Raw genomic sequence first — 21838 nt, forward strand, 5'->3', positions numbered from 1 at the left:
ATTAATTGTTAGCAGGAGCAGGCATATATACATTGCCAAATGGAGAGTAATAACCAAAGTTATATTATTGATTTCCCATAACTCTGTGTGAACTTATATACCTAGAGAGGGGCCTGCTCTCTGTGGCTTATAGCTGCATGCTGATAATTCACTCTGGTAATTCCATTCCCTGAAAACAGAATTAGAAAGGAGGTGGCCTCGGTGAAGGGCAGGCAAACATCACACAAGGAAAGAAAAGTTCCAGAGAGTTTCAAAAAATATTTCTTTTGTTCACTTCTAATGGCAGAAACAAGTCAGAACCATGACAGGTAAAAACTATAAGGTATAAAATTGAGATTGAAGGCAGATTACAACTATCTTATTTGCATGGAGACTTTTTTTTTTTTTTGCTTTATTGGGGTCCATTTTTCCTCCTATATTTTAATCCAAAAACAAAAGATCAGAACATGTCATTAGCTCTACTTCTTAGTGAACCTGACTTTTCTCAAGAAATTTACATCTTTCTCTCATTTTCTGTTAAGGTTTCTTACCCTGTTTTCTCACCTAAGGAATTATAATGAGGTAGAGTGAATGAGCTCTATGGGGAGAGCAGTGGACCCAGAGACTAAAGGTAAAAGGATGATTGATGGTATGAAATTACCATATAAGTACAATCAGGATCAGATTTTAAAATGAATTTTTAAGCAGCCTAAGAGATACTCTTTGATTTGCAGTCTGGTGGAATGGATAATGTCTCATTCAGTGGATAAAGTTTCTCACTGTGTTACTTGAGCTTTTTCTGATCTTTCTGACTGGGAGTAAAATGGAACCAAAGCCTAAAGTGGTTTTTAATGCAGAAAATATCAAACACAATATTCTTAATGTCAAAACCTGGGCATAGCAGGTGAGAAAAGAAAAATAAATAGTAGAATATTACTGTTAGTATTATTGTTTCAGTCTCTCCTCTCACAGGCAAATGGGGTTAAAGCATACATTTCTTAAAGGGTAAACTTGTTTACATATTGAAAAAATAATAATGCTTAGGTTAGTGTCAGGTTTTAATTTTTCTTAGGTGTATAAAATGCTCCAACTAAAATATTCAAGCAAAATGCATTTGGGGGCTATACGTTTTCCCACTTTTTTTTTTTAAGTTTATAGATACTTTTTATTTTGAAAAAATTTTAGATTTACAGAAAAGTGGCAAGGATATTAAAGAGAGTTCCTGTACACACTTCATCCAGCTTCCCCTGTTGTTAACATCTTACATTACTATCAGGGTTGCCAGATTTAGCTGATAAAATACAGGACACCAGTTTAATTTGAATTTAAGATCAACGATCTTTTAATGTACCAATGTCCCATGGCAGTCCTAACGTAACCCTAGTATGTTACATTTGCCACAACTGAGAATAAATATTAGAGAACGGAATTCTACACTTTTATTTGAATTTCACTAGTTTTCTTATGTATCTCTTTTCTGTTCCAGGATCTCATTCAGGATAGCACATTACATGTAGTCATCATGTCTCGGTAGGCTCCCCTGGTCTGCAACAGTTTTTCTGACTTCCTGTTTGCTTTTAAACACAGTGCAAAATGAGCTAAAACATTAATTGATAATCTAATAGTGTTAATACTTGATCATGTATTCAAAATCCACTTTTTAAAAATTAACACATTTTTAAAATGTTTAATATAAATTATTTTAATAGTCTATATCTAATACTGTATATATAAGATTACAAAAACAGTAATAAATCGTAATTATAAATCAGGATTTTTCATTTTAACATTAGGAAAAATATAACTTGTAGCAACTTGTAAACACGTATGAGCTCATCATTAGATTGGAACTATTGTTTTCAGTTGAACATTGTACTTATGGTCTTCGAATATAAAGATAAATACTGGAAACTTTCAAATTATGTGCTTTTATTTTACTAAGCTTGAATTTTCATTTCATTAGTTTTTCCACAGCATATACATACTTCTAAGAACAGACCCTTGAAAGATGTTAATGAATTTATGTTGTAAACTTTGTTCATAGCCATAAGTACAAACGTTTTGTTTTGTTTTTGCTTTTGTTTTCTTCAGAATTTTTCTAAGAAAGACTTAAAAAAAAAACACAGGAGGGATATGGCAATAATCAATCTAGCAGAAAATATTTGAAGCTTGCAGCTTTATAATTCAAGTTGATCTTCATTAAGTTAAAATTCCCTGCTTTAAAACATTATGGAAATCTTTAACATTTCAGACAGTTGCTTTTTGTGACAGTTTCTATTTCTTCCCCTCTGCTGACAGTTCCTATAATGACTTTAATCATAGAGTCTGGAAACGGAATCGGCTATTGAGTAGCAACAAACTCAATGGTCAATGTCTATGTCACTTTTCTGGGAGCAGGACTTTCTGAGCATCAAGAAGCTAATACTCAGAGCCTCCTGGAAAAGTGCTAAGTGCATTAACTCTCTGTCAATCACATCTGTAACACACAGGCCAAATTATTACTATTTGGCTCAAGACATTCCATTGAAACTTATTGGTGTGGTATTCTTATCTGTGTACTGTATATAACTAATGATGATTGTTTATGGAAAGGTGCCTGTCCAATTATTTTTGAAGAAACACAAGAATGCAGAATGACTGGAAGCATCAGGTTTTTGCCAGAGAATGCCTCAGGTAAGAGGAGAATGGCTAGAGGCTATAAGGAATCACAAGAGACAAGTCAGAGTCGTAAATTGGGAAACTGACATATCTCATCTAATATACTTGCTAACTAGGCCTTTAAAAACCTTGACATTTAACTAAGTTTGTGGGAAAGTTATGGGTTTTGTCCTTTTCTATGGGCTCTAACTCATTAATCCAGTGAATTAAGGTGATTATCATTGTTACCAACATTAGGAGATAACGGAGGGAAATGTTTAGAGAGGCGGTGAGCTTCTCGCAGCGCAGCTGAGCAGCTGTTTACGCAGGCTGTGCCTGTTTCAAAGCCAAGTCAGTCAAAAATGATACTTCAAGTTATTTACCCTTTTGGTACTTCGGGGCTTGAAATGGCGTGAAAAGAGCCTTTCATTCGGCAGAGGCATTTAAATAAAGCTTTCCAAAGGCTGATGTGTTTGGAAGAGGGTGGGCTCTTTGCTGAAATAAACAAGTTTCTGGGGATTTTAAGAAAATAGGAAAGAAATGAAAACTTTCCAGTGAATGTCATCTACTTCAACGTCTGATTTTAATCAAGTTCATATTATTTAAGGGCACAGCAATGGCCCATGAGATCATCTTTGGCTTTTTATGTGAATGTTCCTAAAGTAGATTTAACTTTGCCATAAGATATTTTTTTAACTCCAGAAACATTAAGAAACAAGACCAAAGATAAATCATGTGTAATCAGAAAGCAACATAGTTTCTTGAAAAGGCAGAAAAAAAAGGTGCTGTTCACAAAGCATATAGTAAACTAATTGAGCTTTTAATTCAGGATTTTATTAAACATATGTTAAAAGGAACGCCATTAAACCTAAGTGCTTCAAAATTAGGTGATGGAATTTGCCTTTTTTAAACAATAGTCTTTGAAATCAAACCAAAAATCTCTTTTTTTAAATTGCAAAGCTCACATTGTTAATTTACTTATATAAAGTAAATGACAAAGATATCCGGAGACACTTGAGAAAATGTTAAGATAAGACTATCTAACAATTAACATGTGGAAATTATTACTCAGAAACGCTAAGAAACGGTTTAACCTTTTTTCCGAGTTATTAAAAACCACATGTGTCTGTTTCCTTTTTTACCACTTATTTTAAAAATTTTTAAATTTTTTAAAAGATAAAAAGGCTTTGCTACTTGCTTTAGAATTATCATTGACAATTTCTAACATTTTAAAGTTTACTGGCAATATGAAAAATAATTTAAAACATGTATTTTAAGGAACATTATTGACTTATTTATACCAGTTCCTTCCTTTTTGGTTAATTCCTATAAAGGATTTATCAAGCCAATATTTATTTAGCATCTTATAGACAACTAGCATAACATTACATTCTTTAGAGATAACAAAAATACATTTAAGGCATGGTCCTTCAGGATAACTTCGAGTTCTAATTTTATGCAGAAGACAAATACAGCACTTACTGAAATAAAAAGCATGGGAGAACAGTGTAAGACTCTCTGTAGTGATTAATGAGGACTTTCTGTAATAAATAATAAAATGCTATGCTATGTGTATTAAGAAAAAAAAATAAGTTTTTACAGCAGTGCAGAGAAGGAAGATCTCCAGATGGAGGGGTCAGGGAAGTGGAGGTCCTAAGGTTGTGGTATGAGAGCTGTCTCGTCCATGTGCATAGATCAGTGGTGATACGAGTAGCCTGCTCCAAAGCCAGAAAGCCAACTAGACAGAGCGGTAGTTAGTGAAGCGGCTAAGGGTTTCCTAGAGATAATAAATATCTTTGATGGAGAGGGCAGCACTGGATGAAAGCAAGTGGAATACACAAGGTGCCCTCTATGTATAAATGTCTACTGCCTTGAGCAAGTTACTTAACCTTTCTAAACCTGGGTTTTCTTACCTGTGACATGGACCTAATAATAGTTCCAATCTCATTGACTTTGTGCATAGTGAGTGGCAAAAGGCAGTTATATCTGTTCGCCTGGACCATGGTGAGAACTCAATGGGATAACACATACAAAAGACGATGGAGATTGGGAGCAGAGGCTGAAAGGTGTCAGGGAGGGTGTGGCAGCTGGTCTTAGCCCCATGTCTGTAAGGGACTGATCTGGGAATGCCAAGGCTCAATCTGGACAGCTCTATTTAGGCCTCGTATGTGCAGTGAGTCAGCAGGGAATCACTCAGAAATTGAGAAATGTCCCCATATGTTGGTTTATGGTGTTTTTACGTATTGGGGGCCTTACGGTAAGGTCCTGTGGCTAGAGATGAGATTGCTCCCCATCCAGAGGTAGAAAATGAAAGCTCAAGGGTAAGATTTTAGATAATATGGGATAAATGTCCCTCTGTTTAGGACTGGAGAAAAAAGAAGTTTAGACTCAAAATACAAGAGATATTTGCAAGGATATCCAAGTGCCAGCATTTTAAATTGACCCCTGCAATATGTTGGAAGGAGGGAGCTAAAAGCTCTATGCACTGCACGCTGGGGCTTTAGAAGGGGCTTGAGCCTGAGGACTCCCACAGTAACCATATCTAATAACCAGTATTAAGTCCTCTGAGCATTAATTCATTCTGTTCCCCAAAGCCATCATAAATGTCTCACACATTACAGCTCAATCTTCCCTATCACTATAGGAAAACATGGGAAGCATCTGAGCCTACACTTCAGACAAAGCTGTGCCAGGAGAATAGCCCCTGATGCCTGAAAAGAGTCTCTGGACAGGAAGAGGAGACCTTCAGAAGAGCCCAGTAGCAGCGCAAACCCAAACCAACATGCCATAGATAGACAGGTTTAGGGACAGGAAGAATTTCCCAGGGGTTCCAAGAGATTCATGAAAGGGAAACTGGGGAAGCCACTGGACCTCTGACAGTAATAAGGAAAGGAGACCTAGATTATTGTGGTTTGGATATTCATGGGAGGTGTGATCTTACAACCTGCTGATGTATGGGATATCTGGGTCACATAGGATTGTTGCAAGGTTGAAATGAGATAATGAATAAAAAGTTTTTAGCAAAACATCTGTTTTGTTTTTGAGACAAGGTCTCATTCTATTGCCCAGGCTGGAGGGCAGTGGTGCAATCTCAGCTCACTGAAACCTCTGCCTCCTGGGTTCAACTGATTCCCGTGTCAAGCCTCCTGAGTAGCTGGGATTACAGGCGCCTGCCACCACATCCGGCCAATTTTTGTATTCTTAGTAGAGACAGGGTTTTGCCATGTTGTCCAGGTTGGTCTCAAACTATTGGCCTCAAGTCATCCTCCCACCTTGGCCTCCCAAAGTGCTGAGATTATAGGCATGAACCACCGTGCCTAGCCAACATATGACTTTTTAATAGGATCTCAGGAAATGTCTATTGTAATTGATGTTATTGTTATTGACTATGGGATGGTATGTTAGGGGATTATGTAAGTGTGATGGACCAGAAGGTCATATAAGATATATTCACTAAGCAAATCCTGTAGGTACCCAGGCTTCTGCATATACCAAACAGCACCATTGTATGCACAGACAGACCAAAGCCAGACCCTTCCTTCAGAAAGGACTAGAAAGCCAACTTTCTACTTGTCACTTTCCCAGATATGGACAAGGTTGTAAACACGTGGAAGTATAATTTTTTTAGTGGCAAATTACAAATGCATTCAACAGAGCTGTTTCAGAAAGTCATGAGTCTGTGGGAGCAGGTACCAGCCTTAAATGGTGAATGCATTGAAGCAGTGGTAGCTCTGGGGGAGATGGTCCATTTTTCTTTCATTAGACTCCACCGTAACTTGGTATCTTTGTTTTTCTCCATGGGTTCTTAGGCTCAAAGCCAAAGATAGCCATTTGGCAGAAGCACAGGCCCTAGTGAAACATGTATTGAAAGCAGTCTTCTGTGTTTAAAGACATCTCCCTATACGACAATTGTCCTGGATGTCAGGCACTGTGTTGGAAGGCAAGCTGACACTTGACAGGTGACATAGGCAGTACTAATGGTAGAAATCTGATGAAGCAGAAAACAGAGTGGATTTAAGGAGCTGAGTGAACATCTAGCCAGAAGAAGCCAAGATACAGGGACACCAAGGGCAGAAGATCAGACTCCACATCAGCTTCTCAACATGCTACTCACACTCAATGGTTTACCAACAAGAAGCAGCAGGTGGCAGTGTCCCCCAACATTAGCGAGGCCACAGGTCAGGTGTGGAAGTGGACCAGCTGGGCCAGAAAGTATGAAGCATTCTGATAATACTAATACCTAATATTAATCAAGAAATATTTATCTAGCAGGCTCAACTTTAATGAACTAACTCACTTAACGTCACAACAACTGTATTTAATAGATCATGTCATGATCTCAGGCATGCTTATAGCTTCAGGGTGTTTGCACTTGAAGTTTCCTCTAATCAAAACACCATTTCCCAGGTATATGCATGGCTTACTCCTCATGGCATTCTGACCTTTGGTCAAATGTCATCTCCCCAGTGAACACTGTTCTGATCATGAAAATACTCTACCCCACTGCTTATTCCCTTGCCATCCTTTATTTTTCTGCACAGCTCTTATCTCCCGGAAGAAATGTATGTATTTGTGCATTGCTTATAACCCTTCTAGAACTTAACATTGCACAGTGGAAGGGAACGTTATCTGGTTTGTTGATGGCTATATCCTAGCCCCCAAAATGATACCCTTCCCAAATAATTAGCACAATAAACAGTTGTTGCATGATGAAATATCAATTTATAAAGAAAAAACTGAGTTACAATGAGTTTAAACAAATTACCTGAAGTCTCAAGTCATGCATGCAAAATCAGGCTTGGAATCCAGGCAGTGCGGCCCCGGGACCCCAGTTCTTGCCTGCTATCCATACTGCCTTGTGACTACTTCCTTACGTCATCATCTCAGTCCTGAGACAGAAACAGATCACCTGTGAGCAGGGGAGAAGCACATGGAGCACTGCTCTCTATGAAGGACTGGAAAAGGCCCATATCTGGCTTCCTAGGTCCTCTCTTCCCGCATGAGCCTCTATACATGCTGCTGCTGCTGGGAGGCTGTAGGCTTCTGGCTGGAGGGCAGACCCTGTCTATCTCTCTTTCTCTTGCTGAGCATGAGAGCAGGTAGGTGGGCTAAACCCCTCTGAAAACCTAGATACCAGCAATAGCCATACTGAGAAGAAAGGATGGCAGGACCTCTGTTTGCTACTGCATTTCTAGGCACCAGCCTGGAGTCTGGGGATGCTCTGGTTAAAATGCTTAGCCCCTGGTCCTATTGGCCATACTCAGATCAACCCCTGTGGAGTGTACTCCTGAGCCTCAGGACACAGCGGGCCTTTAGAACTCTCCTGAAGCCTAGGTTTCTCCTTTATTTCTAGTGAACTACCTAGAAAAGTTCGAGTCTATAGGCCTGTGATTTCAAGCTCTGGGTGTGCGCTTGTCTGAGGTATGGAGAAGCTTCCTGAAGAAACACATCAGTCAGTTACACTGGCCATTAAGGAATCTTCGGCACACCCAGCCACTGTAGCCTGAGAGGTAGGAAAGAGACTGAGAGACCGGTGCTGGGTAAGGCACAAAGGTGAGACAGAAAAACTCCACAGATTATGGTTTGTGTGATAAAGAAAGGGGCCAAAGCTCATACTTACATTTAAAACCAGGAACACAGTAGCAGCTGGGTAAAGAATATAATTAAGAATCAAGCAGTGGAAGAGAGGACAGGTATTCTTGACCAGAGCAAGGGCATTCAGGACATAGATGAGAACTAGAGCCCAGAGAGACTTACTGAGCGTGGGGTGTCACCACCATCCCTGTTAAAGCACACACTGTTAGCCTGGCCATGGTGGGAGAGTCATTGAAGAGGCAGAGTCAGCTGAAGGAACACTGAAGTTAAGGAGAGGGGCTCTAATAAACTTAGGAAAAAAAGAAAAAGTAAAGTGAGCATTTCTGGTCTTATTTTCATTTATTTATTTATTTGAAAGAGGGTCTGGCTCTGTTGCCGAGGCTGGAGTGCACACTCCGCCTCCCGGGCTCAAACCATCCTTCCAGCTCAGCCTCCTGAGTAGCTGGGACTACAGGCATGTACCACAGCACCTGGGTAATTTTTGTATTTTTTTTTTTTTTGATAGAGATTTTTTACCATATTGCTCAGGCTGGCCTCAAACTGCTGGGATGAAGAGATACTCACGCCTCCGCCTCCTAAAGTGCTGAGATTACAGGTATGAGCCACTGTGACCAGTCTATTTCTGTTTTTATATCTCCAAAACTCAAAAGACTTTTTACAGATTCTACTCTTCATGGATCACTACATTTCTTCGTTTATTCAACAACTGTATATTCAGAGCCTATTGTGCCAGTTGTTAAAGTAATTTATGGCTGAGGTGAACCCAACAAGCCACAGTGCTCCTTTTGTTTCTTACGTAAATCTTGCAAAAACATTTTTTCCTTGTCAAATACATCCATATTATCCATGCTATGAATATATATTCTTCAAATATTTACAACTTTTTTGAATTTACATATATACTTTTTTTTTTAGCTTTTATTTTCGGTTCAGAGGTACATGTGCAGGTTTGTTACGTAGGTAAACTCATGTCATGGAAGCTTGTTGTACAGATTATTTCATCACCCAGGTACTAAGCCTAGCTCCCAATAGCTGTTTTTTTTGGCTCCTCATCCTCCTCCCACCCTTGACCCTCAAGTAGGCCACAATGTCTATTACTCCCCTCTTTGTGTCCATGTGTTCTCATCACTTGGCTGCCATTTATAAGCAAGAACATGTAGTATTTGGTTTTCTGTTCCTGCATTAGTTTGCTAAGGATAATGGCCTCCAGCTCCATCCATGTTCCAGCAAAGAACATGATCTCATTCTTTTTTAATGGCTGCATAGTATTCTATGGTACATACGTACCACATTTTCTTTATCCAGTCTTCTATTGTTGGGCATTTAGGTTGATTCCATGTCTTTGCTATTGTGAATAGTGCTGCAGTGAACATAGCCGTGCATGTGTCTCTGTGAACAATTTCTATTCCTTTAGTTATATACCCAGTAATGGGATTGCTTCGTAGAATGGTAGCTTTGTTTTTAGCCCTTTGAGGAATCACCACACTGCTTTCCACAATGGTTGAAATAATTTATGATTTTTTAAAAATATAATAGCCATTCTGACTGGTGCAAGATGGTATGTTATTTTGCTTTTGATTTGCGTTTCTCTATCAGTGATATTGAGTTCTTTTTCATGTGCTTGTTTGGCCATATGTATGTCTTCTTTTGAAAAGTGTTCATGTCCTTTGCCCACTTTTTAATGGGGTTGTAAATTTGTTTAAGTTCCTTGTAGACTCTGGATATTAGACCTTTGTCAGATGGGTAGAATGCAAAAAATTTCTCACATTCTGTAGGTTGTCTATTTACTCTGTTGATAGTTTCTTTTGCTGTGCAGAAGCTTTTTAGTTTAATTAGATCCCATTTGTCAATTTTGGCTTTTGTTGCAATTGCTTTTGGCATCTTCATAAGTTGCTTTGCCAGTTCTTATGTCCAGAATAGTATTGCCTAAGTTGCCTTCCAGGGTTTTAATAGTTTTGGGTTTTACATTGAAGTGTTTAATCCACCTTGAGTTGATTTTGTATGTGGTGTAAGGAAAAGGTCCAGTTTCAATCCTCTGCACATGGCTAGCCATTTATCCCAGCACCATTTATTGACTAAAGAATCCTTTCCCCATTGCTTGTTTTTGTCAGTTTTGCTGAAGATCAAATGGTTGTAGGTGTGCGGCCTTGTTTCTGGGCTCTCTACCCTGTTCCATTGGTCTATGTGCCTGTTTTTTACAGTACAAAACAGTACCATGCTGTTTTGGTTACTGTAGCCCTGTAGTGTAGTCTGAAGTCAGGTAATGTGATGCTACCTGCTTGGTTCTTTTTGCTTAAGATTGCCTTGGCTATCTGGGCTCTTTTTTGGTTCTGTATGCATTTTAAAATAGTTTTTTCAATTCTGTGAAGAATGTCATTGGTAGTTTGATAGGAAGAGAATGAAATTTGTAAATAGCTTTGAGCAGTATGGCCATTTTAATAATATTGATTCTTTCTATCCATAACATGCAATGTTTTTCCATTTGCTTGTATCATCTCTGATTCCTTCAGCCATGTTTTGTGATTATCATTATATAGATCTTTCACCTCCTTGATTAGCTGCATTCCTAAGTATTTTATTATTTTTGTGGTAATTGTGAATGGGATTACATTCCTGATTTGGTGGTCAACTTGGCTGCTGTTCATGTATAGGAAGGCTAGTGATATTTGCATATTGATTTTGTATCCTGAGACCTTATTGAAGTTGTTTATCAGCTTAAGGAGCTTTGGGGCTGAGACTATGGGATTTTCTAGACATAGAATCATGCAATATCGCTTTTGAGTTGCTAGAAACACAGCAGAAAAAAATTTGAAAAAAATTAGTCAATGTGAAACTGACTTTTTTATACGAAAGAGGCAATAATTTTTGTTCAAAAGTTGCCTACAAGTCCATCTATCCATTCTATCCAGAGCTATGAATATGTGCATTTCCACAAAGACCACTCTCCCAATTTTACCTAAAGCATTCTTCAGGTTTACAGGCTGGCCTCCCTGAAGCCTTCTTTCTTAACCTTCTTCTTTTTTTGTTGTTTGCCTTTTTGAATCTCTAATTGTCACTGCTCTGAGGGGCCCATGGTTCAGAACACTGTAGCAAACATAGATACTCCATTTATTACATGTCAGCATGACTTACGCTTAAAGGACAGTATCCTTCAAATAAAAGACAGTGCTGATTGCTCACATTGGAGCTGCCCATGAATACACTTACACATATTTATTGAGAACCTGCTTAGGTGTATAGGTGACACCAAACTTTAAGTTTCAGTGGTAAAAGTCACTCCAGGTTGTTTGTCTCAGGAAATTTATATTAGAAAGGTTAGGAATTTGAATCAAGTCTAGTGAAAATCTGAAGGCCAGTAAAACAATTGGGATCTCCAGTTTTGTGTCTTTTAGAAAGGCTCAAAAATGGCCAGTGGGTATCTGGTAGACCAAGAAGAACAGAGCAAGGTGGATTCCACTAATGTGTATCACCAGCAATCATTTTTAAGGTATTCAACTAAAGGTCACACATACTTAGGCATTCTATTGAAATGTGTTAATATTGACAATGATAAATATGTGGAGATTATTTTCCCTTGCACTTTCTCCTAGGACACTTCTCAAACGTACTATATCATATTAAAAGTAGTCTGAAAGAGTATTTTAAAACAAGTTTCATTAAGGATACTACATTTCAACCTTTATACTTTATTATATAATACAAAGCTTACATTGTACTCTCCCTGCTTCCTGCCCCTATAAAGTATTACATTAATTTATTTTCCCTTGATTGACTATCCCTATGCAGTAGAGATAAATCCTTTTGAAGCTACACCACTGTCTAACACACCAATATTATGGACCCTTATTATTCTCATTCACCATTGAAAAAGGGATGTCTAAAGAGGCTAGCCAGATTTCCAAAAATGTCAGAAGACAATACTGGCAAAATCCAGCATAAAATCTATTCTTCATTTTCAAACCATGAGCATTTACCACAATGCCAATATACATTTTAACGCTGGCAGTAAACTTTTGTTCTACATTAACCTTGGTCAGAAGTCAAGGTTCCTAAAGTCTTTTTGATTGACCAAGAAAATTACTCTGGAATCATGAGGCTTATGTTTTTCTAATATACCAACCAACCAACCAAAAATAATATGTGTCTCAGAGCTATCCTTTGAATGAACTTGGCCGTATCTCAGAATATTAATAATGAATCGTAAATGTTTGATAAGCAAAGAACATGATTATAGGAAGGAGAAAAAAAACTGAGGAACACGTTAGTGACAAATAACTTTTTTTTTTCATTTTACTATAATGAGAAATACCATCTAGATTCCTGCTGAACAGAGTAAGTCTGGAAAAGGGAGCATTAGGAGGTTGTATAAGTTTTCTAATGAAATCAGACGTCATTGCTTCAGGCCATGTTCTCTTCTTTTAGATCTGTACAAGGAGCCACCTATACACTGCCAGATGAAATGTCTTTCAGTAACAAGGCTTCAGGCTGGCCCAGCTCTTTTACTTTCAGCTCTAAGTTCTATGACCAACAGGGGCTGTGTGATGCATTCCAACTTCAGGGCTTCCCCTGTGGTTATGGGTTATGTAAAGTCCTGCTAACCCCTAGGGTTCAGCTTCTCTCCAACTACTCCATTGTTCTTTCCTAGTGCGTCAGAGTTCCTCAGGGAGCATCTGCCTTTGCATATATGCTGAAAATGATCACTTCTTGAAAGAGTCCATTTGCCTTGGAGAGAGATCTGAGTCTCTTATATTCTTTCTTAGTCTTCTGAGTTACTAAATCTTGTCCCAGAAACATGCAGCAACAGGCAATTTGTCTTCTCATTTTTTTTTTTTTTTTTTTGCTGTTGCTGAGCTTCAAGCCCTGTTGTTTAATTTTGACACACACACGTATATAAATATATAAAATATATATAATACATATATGTAAAATATACATATGATGTTCTTCAGGACTGTGCTCAATCTTTACAATTGTTACATAATTTAATCTTATTTTATGCTTTCAGAAACTCCTTAACTAGGTTTTTCATCCCCATTTTACAGATGAGAAATCTGAGGCCCAAAATAAATGATGTAATTTATTTAACATCAGACAGCTTGGATGTAGCACACTGATCCAAGATTTCAGATTCCAAATATTCTGTTGTTACTCTAAATTATATTACTTCCATTGGCCAGATCTGTAGACAGCATCTCTTGACCTTTATTTTTCTTCATGATATTTATCACTGACACTATATAACTCTGCCACTTAGGGCCATGTGACCTTAAGGAAGGCACTTCACCTGTTTGTGTCTCATCTGTAAAATGGGAATTATGATGATACCTACCTTAAAAAGGGTTGTATCAAGGGAGTTAATGCATGTAAAACAATGAGAAGAATCTTTAGCCAATTGTAAGCATAAGTGTCAATCATTATTATTAGTAGTAGTAGTACATTTATTTGTTTGGGGTTTATTATCTGTCTCCTACACAAGAAGATAACCTTCTTAACGACAAAGACTTTGTTTTGTTGACTACTATATTCTCATTGCAAGAAGAGTGCCTAGCACATAGTAAGGGCTTAATAATTATTTATTCAATGAATGAATGAATGCATAAATGACTTCAAGTCTTCATCATCCTTTTTCCGTGACTTATGGGATTTGGCTGCTAAAGTTCATGAGTGGGTGAACATAGTGTTTGATGTCACAGCTGCACACACTTGGTCCAGCACCCCCATATGCCTAGATACAAAGTGGGCATCACTTGTGTTCTTTGTTGTGCCTCATTCTGATGACCTTTTCGCCTGACATTTTCTTCCCACAGGCCTCATGAATGGCCAGGCTATGCTCCACTTCCTTCAAGTTGTTCATTTCTCTTCATCTCATGAACGTGAACCTGTCCTCAATTTCATTGCCATAAGATCTCCTCTTAGTAGGTGATGCCTAATTACTCTTTCCAATTAACATGCTATTCAAATTTGTCTAATGTTTCTTCCAGTTCTAAAATTTGATGACCACTGATCTGATGTGACCGTGTGATTGTTTCACAATTTGATGTGTGTGATGATATTAGTATGTACAATACATGCTGTTTACCTCTATCTAGTAACAAATGTTTACATTTGTTACTAGAGTAAGCTTTAGGGGTAGAACTTGAGTCTCAAAGCTCACGTCTTGGGAAAAAAAAAAGATCTGGTATTGATAGAACCTTGATAAATCCCTTGTTATAGCACATGTTTTTGTTTCCCAGAAGTAGGGCAAGAGCTCTCTGGCTTATCCAATCAGCTTCTTCTCCTGACTTTAGTAGAGACACGGGCTTCATTACTGAGCTGGGAATTTAACTTCCCTCTGTCCTATGAAAAGTAGAAGATTTTCCTAAGAGAAACCTTCAGTGAGAGCAGAACAGAAAAAAGAGCAAAGAACTAACTGAAGGAGAGGGCAAGAAATCAGTGTAGTGTGGGGCAGCAGAAGGGAAGTGACAGGTCAAAGAAAATAGGAGAGAAAAGGAGAGAGAGCTACCCAAGTAAACAGGAAAAGGGGAGGAAATACAGGGCAAAAGCAGAGAGCAGGGGAATTGGCATGACAAGAAAGTGGTGAAACACAGAGGATTCCACCAGACAACAGAGAGCCCGGTAGAGAAGAGTGGGCTAGGATAAAGAGACAGGAAACAAATGGATTAAGACATAGAGTAGCCATTGTCAGTTACCTGGGTAAGAAAAGATTGGTGGTCTAAATAAAATGCAGATTGTTCATTTACAATTCTGACTGTTTAAATTATTTATGGTACACCTTGGTGCTTCACTTAATCATGTTAAGTTACAGTTGTAATCTTATTAATTACTTGCAACCAGCTTTCTCAATGTACCATGTATAGAGGACAGCTTGTCAAGGGGTAGAAGTACTATAGCTTCACTTTTAATCCAGTATCATCCAGTACACAAATTAGCCTTACACTGTTAGAATCTTCCTGATGATGACTGGCTGAACTAAGCATTAGTCTTGACAATACAAGTACTGCTGTGCCCATTTACAGAAAGGGAAGCAATTCTTTCCCAGAAAGTAAGATATGATTTAAATGCTTTGGCCTAATTAGCTGTGAAAAAGGACATGGCCCAGGTAAGGCTTCAGGAAAAGCCAATTAACACATGTGCATATGTCTCTCTCCATTCACATCACCCAGCCTAGTCCAAGTCACCACCATCTCTTCACTTGCATTGTTACAGTAGTCTCTTAGCCGCTTTTCCCACCTCCACCTTTGATATCTCTAGTTATTCATGAGGTCCAAAATGAACTTTTAAAAATAACACCACACTATCTCTATTTAGACTTTTCAACAGTTTCCCACTGCACAAGGGATACATTACCACAAGGAATTACACCAACTTGCCCTTGCAAATCTCATCTTTATGTTCAACTGTGCTGATCTTCATTTTCCTCCTCAGATGCGCAAATGCTTTCCCATCCCAGGGACTTCATGTTTGTTCTGCCCCAAAACTAAAACACTCTTCCCTGTTCTTCATCTGGCTAACCAATATTTGTGCTTTCTGTGTCAGCATAAACACTGTTTTCCTCAGACAAGATTTCCTGACTCCCAGCCTAGGCCAGGCCACTTCAAGGTGTGTGCTCTCCATAAAGTTTACTTCTTCTATATACATCAATTCACATAATTATACTTTAATACTTACTTGTATAATTGTTCGTGTGCTATGACCCCCAGTTGGCTGTAAGTCCTATAAAGACAGAGGCCACATCCATCTTGCACATCCCTCTGTTCCTAGCACCTGCCATGGGTCCTATCAGCTGACAAGCACTCAATATATTGTATGAATAAGTAAATAAGATTCTAATTTCCAACATCCTAGACTTGTTTACAGTCCCACGGAGCCTGCTCAGGTAGAGCACATGCAATGCTTCCTATGCATGTGTTTGCAGAGAGAAGAGAGAGAAGCCCTTCTGCTTCTCCCACGTGTTACCATTTTGACCAGACTCAGTGCTGAAGCACTGATGAAAGGGATGGAGACAGTGAGCCTGTGAATGCCGTGTGCAGAACAGCACTTGCCTTTGTCCCCCATGAAAGTAATGTGATGCTCGGTATCCACAATCTTTTAATCTGGCTGCTGTAGGGTGAGAATTTGTGGTCCTTTTCTGTTAAGATGGAATCTTGCTGAAGGTCAGAATGTGGTTAGAGTCAAAGAGTGGCATCACTAGCACTGTGTATAAAAGAAAGAATACAACTCGGATCTTTGGTTCTCTACCAACTTGACTCACTTTCTCCACAGCAAGGCTCATATTATCCTTTCCTAATGGAGTTTAGGATGCAATTGCAGTCCTCTTCAGACAAGTCTCCTGTCCCTTTTGCTTTATTCTGAAACAATGGAGTCCAAAATCTGTACTTCTTACATAGTACAGTGACTAGCTTCTAACATTCCAGCATGGCTATCTCAAGGACTTTTGACTAAATGCTGCCAGTTCATTTGGAGTGATCTCTGGCAGGGCCAAATTCAGCATAATGTAGCTTCCTGTTGTCTTCCTATATTCCTGTATGTTATTGTAAATATATTGACGTAAGCTGACCTATTATACATGCTTGTTCCCTTCTATGGTGATAGGGACTAGGAAAGACAATGCACTGTTCACTCTAATGTAAGGGATCACATATAATTCTTATGATTTGATGATTCTCTTCTGGCACTCAAACCTGCTTGTAGCTTTTAGGATTCATGGCCACTGGTGGCATTAAACACTTAGGGCCTGTCATCACAAAAGGACACTTTGTACACAATTATCTTTCCAAAGGCTAGATCAGCCCATGTCAATGTCATGTTTAATATTTAAACAAAACACACTTTACTGTCATTTGTATCTATTTACTCAGTCACCATCTGCAAAACCACTGTGAATAAAAATGGAACTTGTGGTGCAAGAAAAATATATTGAGAATCATTGAGTTGGACAGACCTAGTGAGAAGGTTGTGTCTATTCAAACACCTGTCTTCCACCCTCCCACCATCTGTGCAATCACTTCACCCTTCAGCCTCACTAGTCCCCCTAACAATTACCCTGTCAAGAGGAGAGTGCAGCTCAGGTGGATTTAATGTGGGTTTAATATGGCCTGTTGAGTTTAATGTTTAATGTTGATTTTCTTTAAGTAACCATTTCTGTTCTTGCTATAAATCTATGTCTATATGTCTATGCTTAATTTGGATGATGAAGGCAACTTGGATTTAAGGCAAGAGCCAGTTTATATGTTTTATGAAGAGATTATAGATCAAATAAGCAGACGATAGACCTTCCAAAGCTATAAGTGAAAACAGAAAAATGACGCGTAATTCACAGGTTACAGTGAAGTTAAAAGAGAGGGTTAATATTTTAATGTGTTGTTAAGAATTCTTTCACTCAAATTCTCAATCTGAATCTAATAGTCATCTATATACTGCTATAAAGGAAAGGGAAGAAGTTAATACGAAATTCAGACCTATTATCTGTTATTGGGTGTGATGCTAGAGAGTTTATATTCATTTTCTCATCTAATAAAACAACTCTTCAAAGTGGGTGTTTTAAAGACAAAGAACCTGAGGTCAGAGGGTTTAAATATATTGGGATACCAGCCAAAGTCTGATTCAAAAGTATGCATTTTCCTCCCTAAATGGTCATATTATTTACCTGGTGATAGTATATCCATTAGTCGGAATGATTCAACCCTCTAAGGGTCTCACCTCACCATGTGTAATATAGTATGTTATATCACCTAAAGGACAAAAATGATTAGAAAAAAATGAAAATTGTAAGAAATTGTCCATCCAATTACCTAGACAGCATTCAAGCTCAAAGCATTTGGATAACCACAATTGTTCTATTTCTATTTATCCGAGGCATATTCCTTCATTGCCAACTATGTGTCAGGTGTTGGGATTGACATTTTGGATAGAATTATAAGCAAGATGGAAATGCTCTCTTCTCTCACAGAGCCAAGTACCTACAGAGGACAGTGCAATGCAGATTGGCCTCTGTGGATTCTGAAGCAATATAGGGCTCAACGTTGCCTGCCTTAGAATGTGAGAAAATAAGTACAAATAGATGCTGCTTCTTTGAAGTAATGTATAAAATTTAAAGAAGATAGCAGGATCAGTAGTGTTTTATATTTCGTCAGGCTTTAAATATTTATGTTTCAGATACACTTTGACCATGATACTTCATAAATATGAGGCAAGTTGTTAAAAGAGAAGTTGGTGGTTGATTTCCTGAATTTGCCAACATGTTGACACCACCAAGTACCTTTATATTTTGCAGGTATACTGAGGAAGAGCATAGTTGGCCTTCAATGCCAATACGCAGCACCTCAGTGCTAAACTAAGGTATTCCTATCTAAATAGTAAGGTACTTAGTATCATTCAGCAGGATGCATAGGTCATAAGTCCTTCCCAAAGGAAAAATTGCTGTCTTTCAGAAAAGAGCCAAGAGTAGAAAGAGGTGCTCACTCACTCCTTATCCTTTGAATTAGTAAGGACAATCAACAAATTCATAAGAGATACTTGAGCATGTCACATCAATTTCTTTGATTTTTAGATGAAATGTGTTTTGTGTTGCTCTAAAGTTAGGCACTCATTATGCATAATTAACCCCTTACATAGAACAGCTGCTGGCTTTTACAATGATTTCAACCCAGAGCTGAGTGTACCCATTGTTGGTGTTTACTGTGGTGAACTTAATCAAATTTGTGATATATGCATCATTTGATGTAATTATCAAATATATGGAAAAAAAAACTAGAGAAAAGCATGGCGTGTTCATCTTCACTTAGAAAAGTTAACTCTGAAGTAATTATGGGCTATTATGCTGGAAATTATTTTAATTTTTTTAAAAATGAAAATTATTGGAATTTAATACTAAATACAATTCTGTGATTGTTTATGAAAAAGAGGTACCAGTATGTTTCCCATGAGTGAAGAGGACTGAAGAGGCAATCAAATCACCAGGATAGGCCTCCATGGATAATCCAGGAATCGGGAAAGCTTGGCCTTAACTCTGACTTTCAAACTTTGCTAACATATTTAATCTCTACTTTTCCCATTTATAAACTTGGAAGATAATCATCAAGAAGCATGCACATGTAGCATTCTAAACACTTTAAGTTGGAAATTGTTACCAAAGATAGAAAAATGTAATTCTCGGCATATAGTCCTACATTGAAACACCAAAATGGTTTGTCTATGCCACCAAATTAGAGATCTTGTAGTGGATTCTGTTGTGATGCTTTATGCATTTTGAGAAGTTAGGAAAACTTGGAGGAAATGTAATGTAATCATTAAGCAGTATTCTGCCCCCTTTTACTTTTGAAGTGTACATATCTCTCATTCACTCTGTTGGAGATACACTGGAATTGGCAATCATTGTTTCACAAATAAGATAGCTGAGGAAAGGGGAACTTGCAAAGTCACAGCAGGTTAGATAAAGAGATATTGCCACAGTTCTTTAGTTTATACCTTTTTATTCTTAATCCTGCCCAGATAGACAGAGATGTAGAAATTTAATATAACATATTTTAGACTACAAAGGCCTAAAATAAAAGCTGTGTCATGAGCACAGTGATCCTTTTTCAAATTATGAAAGTAAAATTTGGCTAAGGGAATATATTCAAATTTTAACTGCCAATGTACAATATTTCTGTTAAATCAGCTTTCCTGGACTATTCTAAATATCATTTATGGCATTGAAGCAATGTGTTTTGGAGTGATGGACTTTGAAGGCTGTTCTGGAAGTTAGAGATTCTAATTATTCTTTTTGGGATAAAAATAATAATTTGGTCACCATTTATTTTGGGAGAAAATTATCACCAATTATTTTCTTTCTAAATAACCTTTAATTGAATTCAACTAGTTCTCAATATAACTGCTTGACTGCATTCAACCTGTTTTGCCAAGTTAATTTGATTGAGTAGATTCACTTTATATTCAAGATCCTTTTTAAAATTCTCTTTCATAAAGCAGAACCCTATAAAATTGAATAAGAAAATAATCACAAAGGATCATTTTGCATATTGTCTGCTTCTGGAAGAGACAATGCCATTTATCACAAAAGGAAGCAAAATCATTTTTGAAGTATGATTACCTAAGGTTATTCTGTAACCAGATGTCTAAGTTGTCTTATAAGCATCATTTTCACAGATAACTTCCTTGTGACTTATTCCATTTGCAGACATGTAGAAGCCCTCAGTATAAAAATATATAAAGAAAATTCCCCATCAACTATTTCTTACTCCAATCTAAAGGACATAGAAAATTTTAGTTTACAACAATTATGTAAATGCCCATTACTGATAGAAAATTTTAGCTTACAACAATTCTGTAAATGCACTTTAATGATGGGAAAACACAGTCTCCACTGAAGTACATGGGCTTTAAAAATAAATCACTTTAAGTATATCTTTTCAAAAACAAACAAAAATCATATTAACAAAATGTATTTAAAAGACCTCAAATATTATCTTTCCATACTTTTGAATTACATGTTGAGAAGAAAGAAAGAGAGAGAGCGAAGGAAGCAAAAAAGAAAAAAGAAATGAAAAAAGGAAAGAAAAAAGGAATTATCTGTGTTTCTACAACAAAATAATGGAAAGAGTTTGCACTGGCTACTTAGGACAAAGGCTGATGCAGAGTGACACTTCATGCCAACAAAAGGTTATTGAATATTCTGCCTTTTCTTAGAGATGCTTTGGTATTTAACATATTGATATCTTCTGACAATTTTCCTAAAGGATATCATAGGATAGGTGCAGAGATTTCACTACTCAGGACCATTTATCTTTTTTTAAAAAACTAAAATACATATTGTTCTTTAGATACATTTTTGTCCTCTAAAGAGAAAATTAAAGCAAAGTCAACATTGAGATGAAGTAATAGCAGAATGCAGAGACTTGGAAAATGCCGAATTTTCATAGTTTTGTGTTGATAGCAATGTATGTGGTGTTACTACAGAGAGATCTGTTAAAAAGACTAAGAAGCATATATTCTGATTCATAGAATTCCCATTGAAGACATTCAGAAAAAAAGAGAAATCTTTCCAAAATTATGCAAATGAAGCATATATAATCTGTGTCTCGATGACAGTGTGTTTTCAACTCTCTCTCTTCCATTTTGTTATGACATACTTCAAGATTTTACCACAGAAAACTACAAAAGGAAAATCACTTCAGTATACAAACATATGCACATGTTAAGGGAGGAAGGATTTAAAGCATTTACATTAATAAATCAAATTTGGGAGGGGTTTTCATGAGTAAGTTATAGATGGGCCAATCAAGTAAGTATAACCACCAGTAAAAGTTAAAAAAGGAAGCATACTATTTGGGTCATCTTCATGAGTTCTAATTAAAATTCATATGGAGAGTTATTTGTAAAAATCAGCTGGGCCACTGTCTGATTTTCAACCAAGAACTGAAAACCACTGGTTCATCTACTTCTTGAGAAAAATATTATTGAACACCAGCTGTATGCCAACCACCATTCTATCTGTATGCACAAGCCATTGTAGGTGCTAGAGGGGAAACCAATAACCAACTTTTGTTTTGTTTTCTCAAACTGATGTCTCATGAAGACAAATGAAAGAGAGAACACAGAAGACGGCAACAGAGGAAGCTTTCAAGAG

At 37.4% G+C, this 21838-nt stretch overlaps 1 long non-coding RNA gene and 1 pseudogene across 1 annotated transcript in view; one reads left to right on the forward strand and one right to left on the reverse strand.

The window, feature by feature from the left end:
• The window catches only part of LOC105377475 (uncharacterized), a 37313-nt gene extending 28796 nt beyond the window's left edge, over positions 1-8517 (reverse strand). Inside the window, exons 1-2 of the long non-coding RNA XR_939315.3 lie at positions 8374-8517; positions 7382-7505 (exon numbers count right to left, since the gene is read on the reverse strand). This is a non-coding gene — a long non-coding RNA (uncharacterized LOC105377475). The remainder of the gene's footprint in view (positions 1-7381; positions 7506-8373) is intronic.
• A 6973-nt stretch (positions 8518-15490) lies between these two features.
• Positions 15491-16317, forward strand: LOC100996262 (uncharacterized; annotated as a pseudogene).
• Positions 16318-21838: the final 5521 nt, after the last annotated feature.

The sequence above is a fragment of the Homo sapiens genome, chromosome 4 (assembly GCF_000001405.40).
Source record: "Homo sapiens chromosome 4, GRCh38.p14 Primary Assembly".
Lineage (NCBI taxonomy): Eukaryota > Metazoa > Chordata > Mammalia > Primates > Hominidae > Homo > Homo sapiens.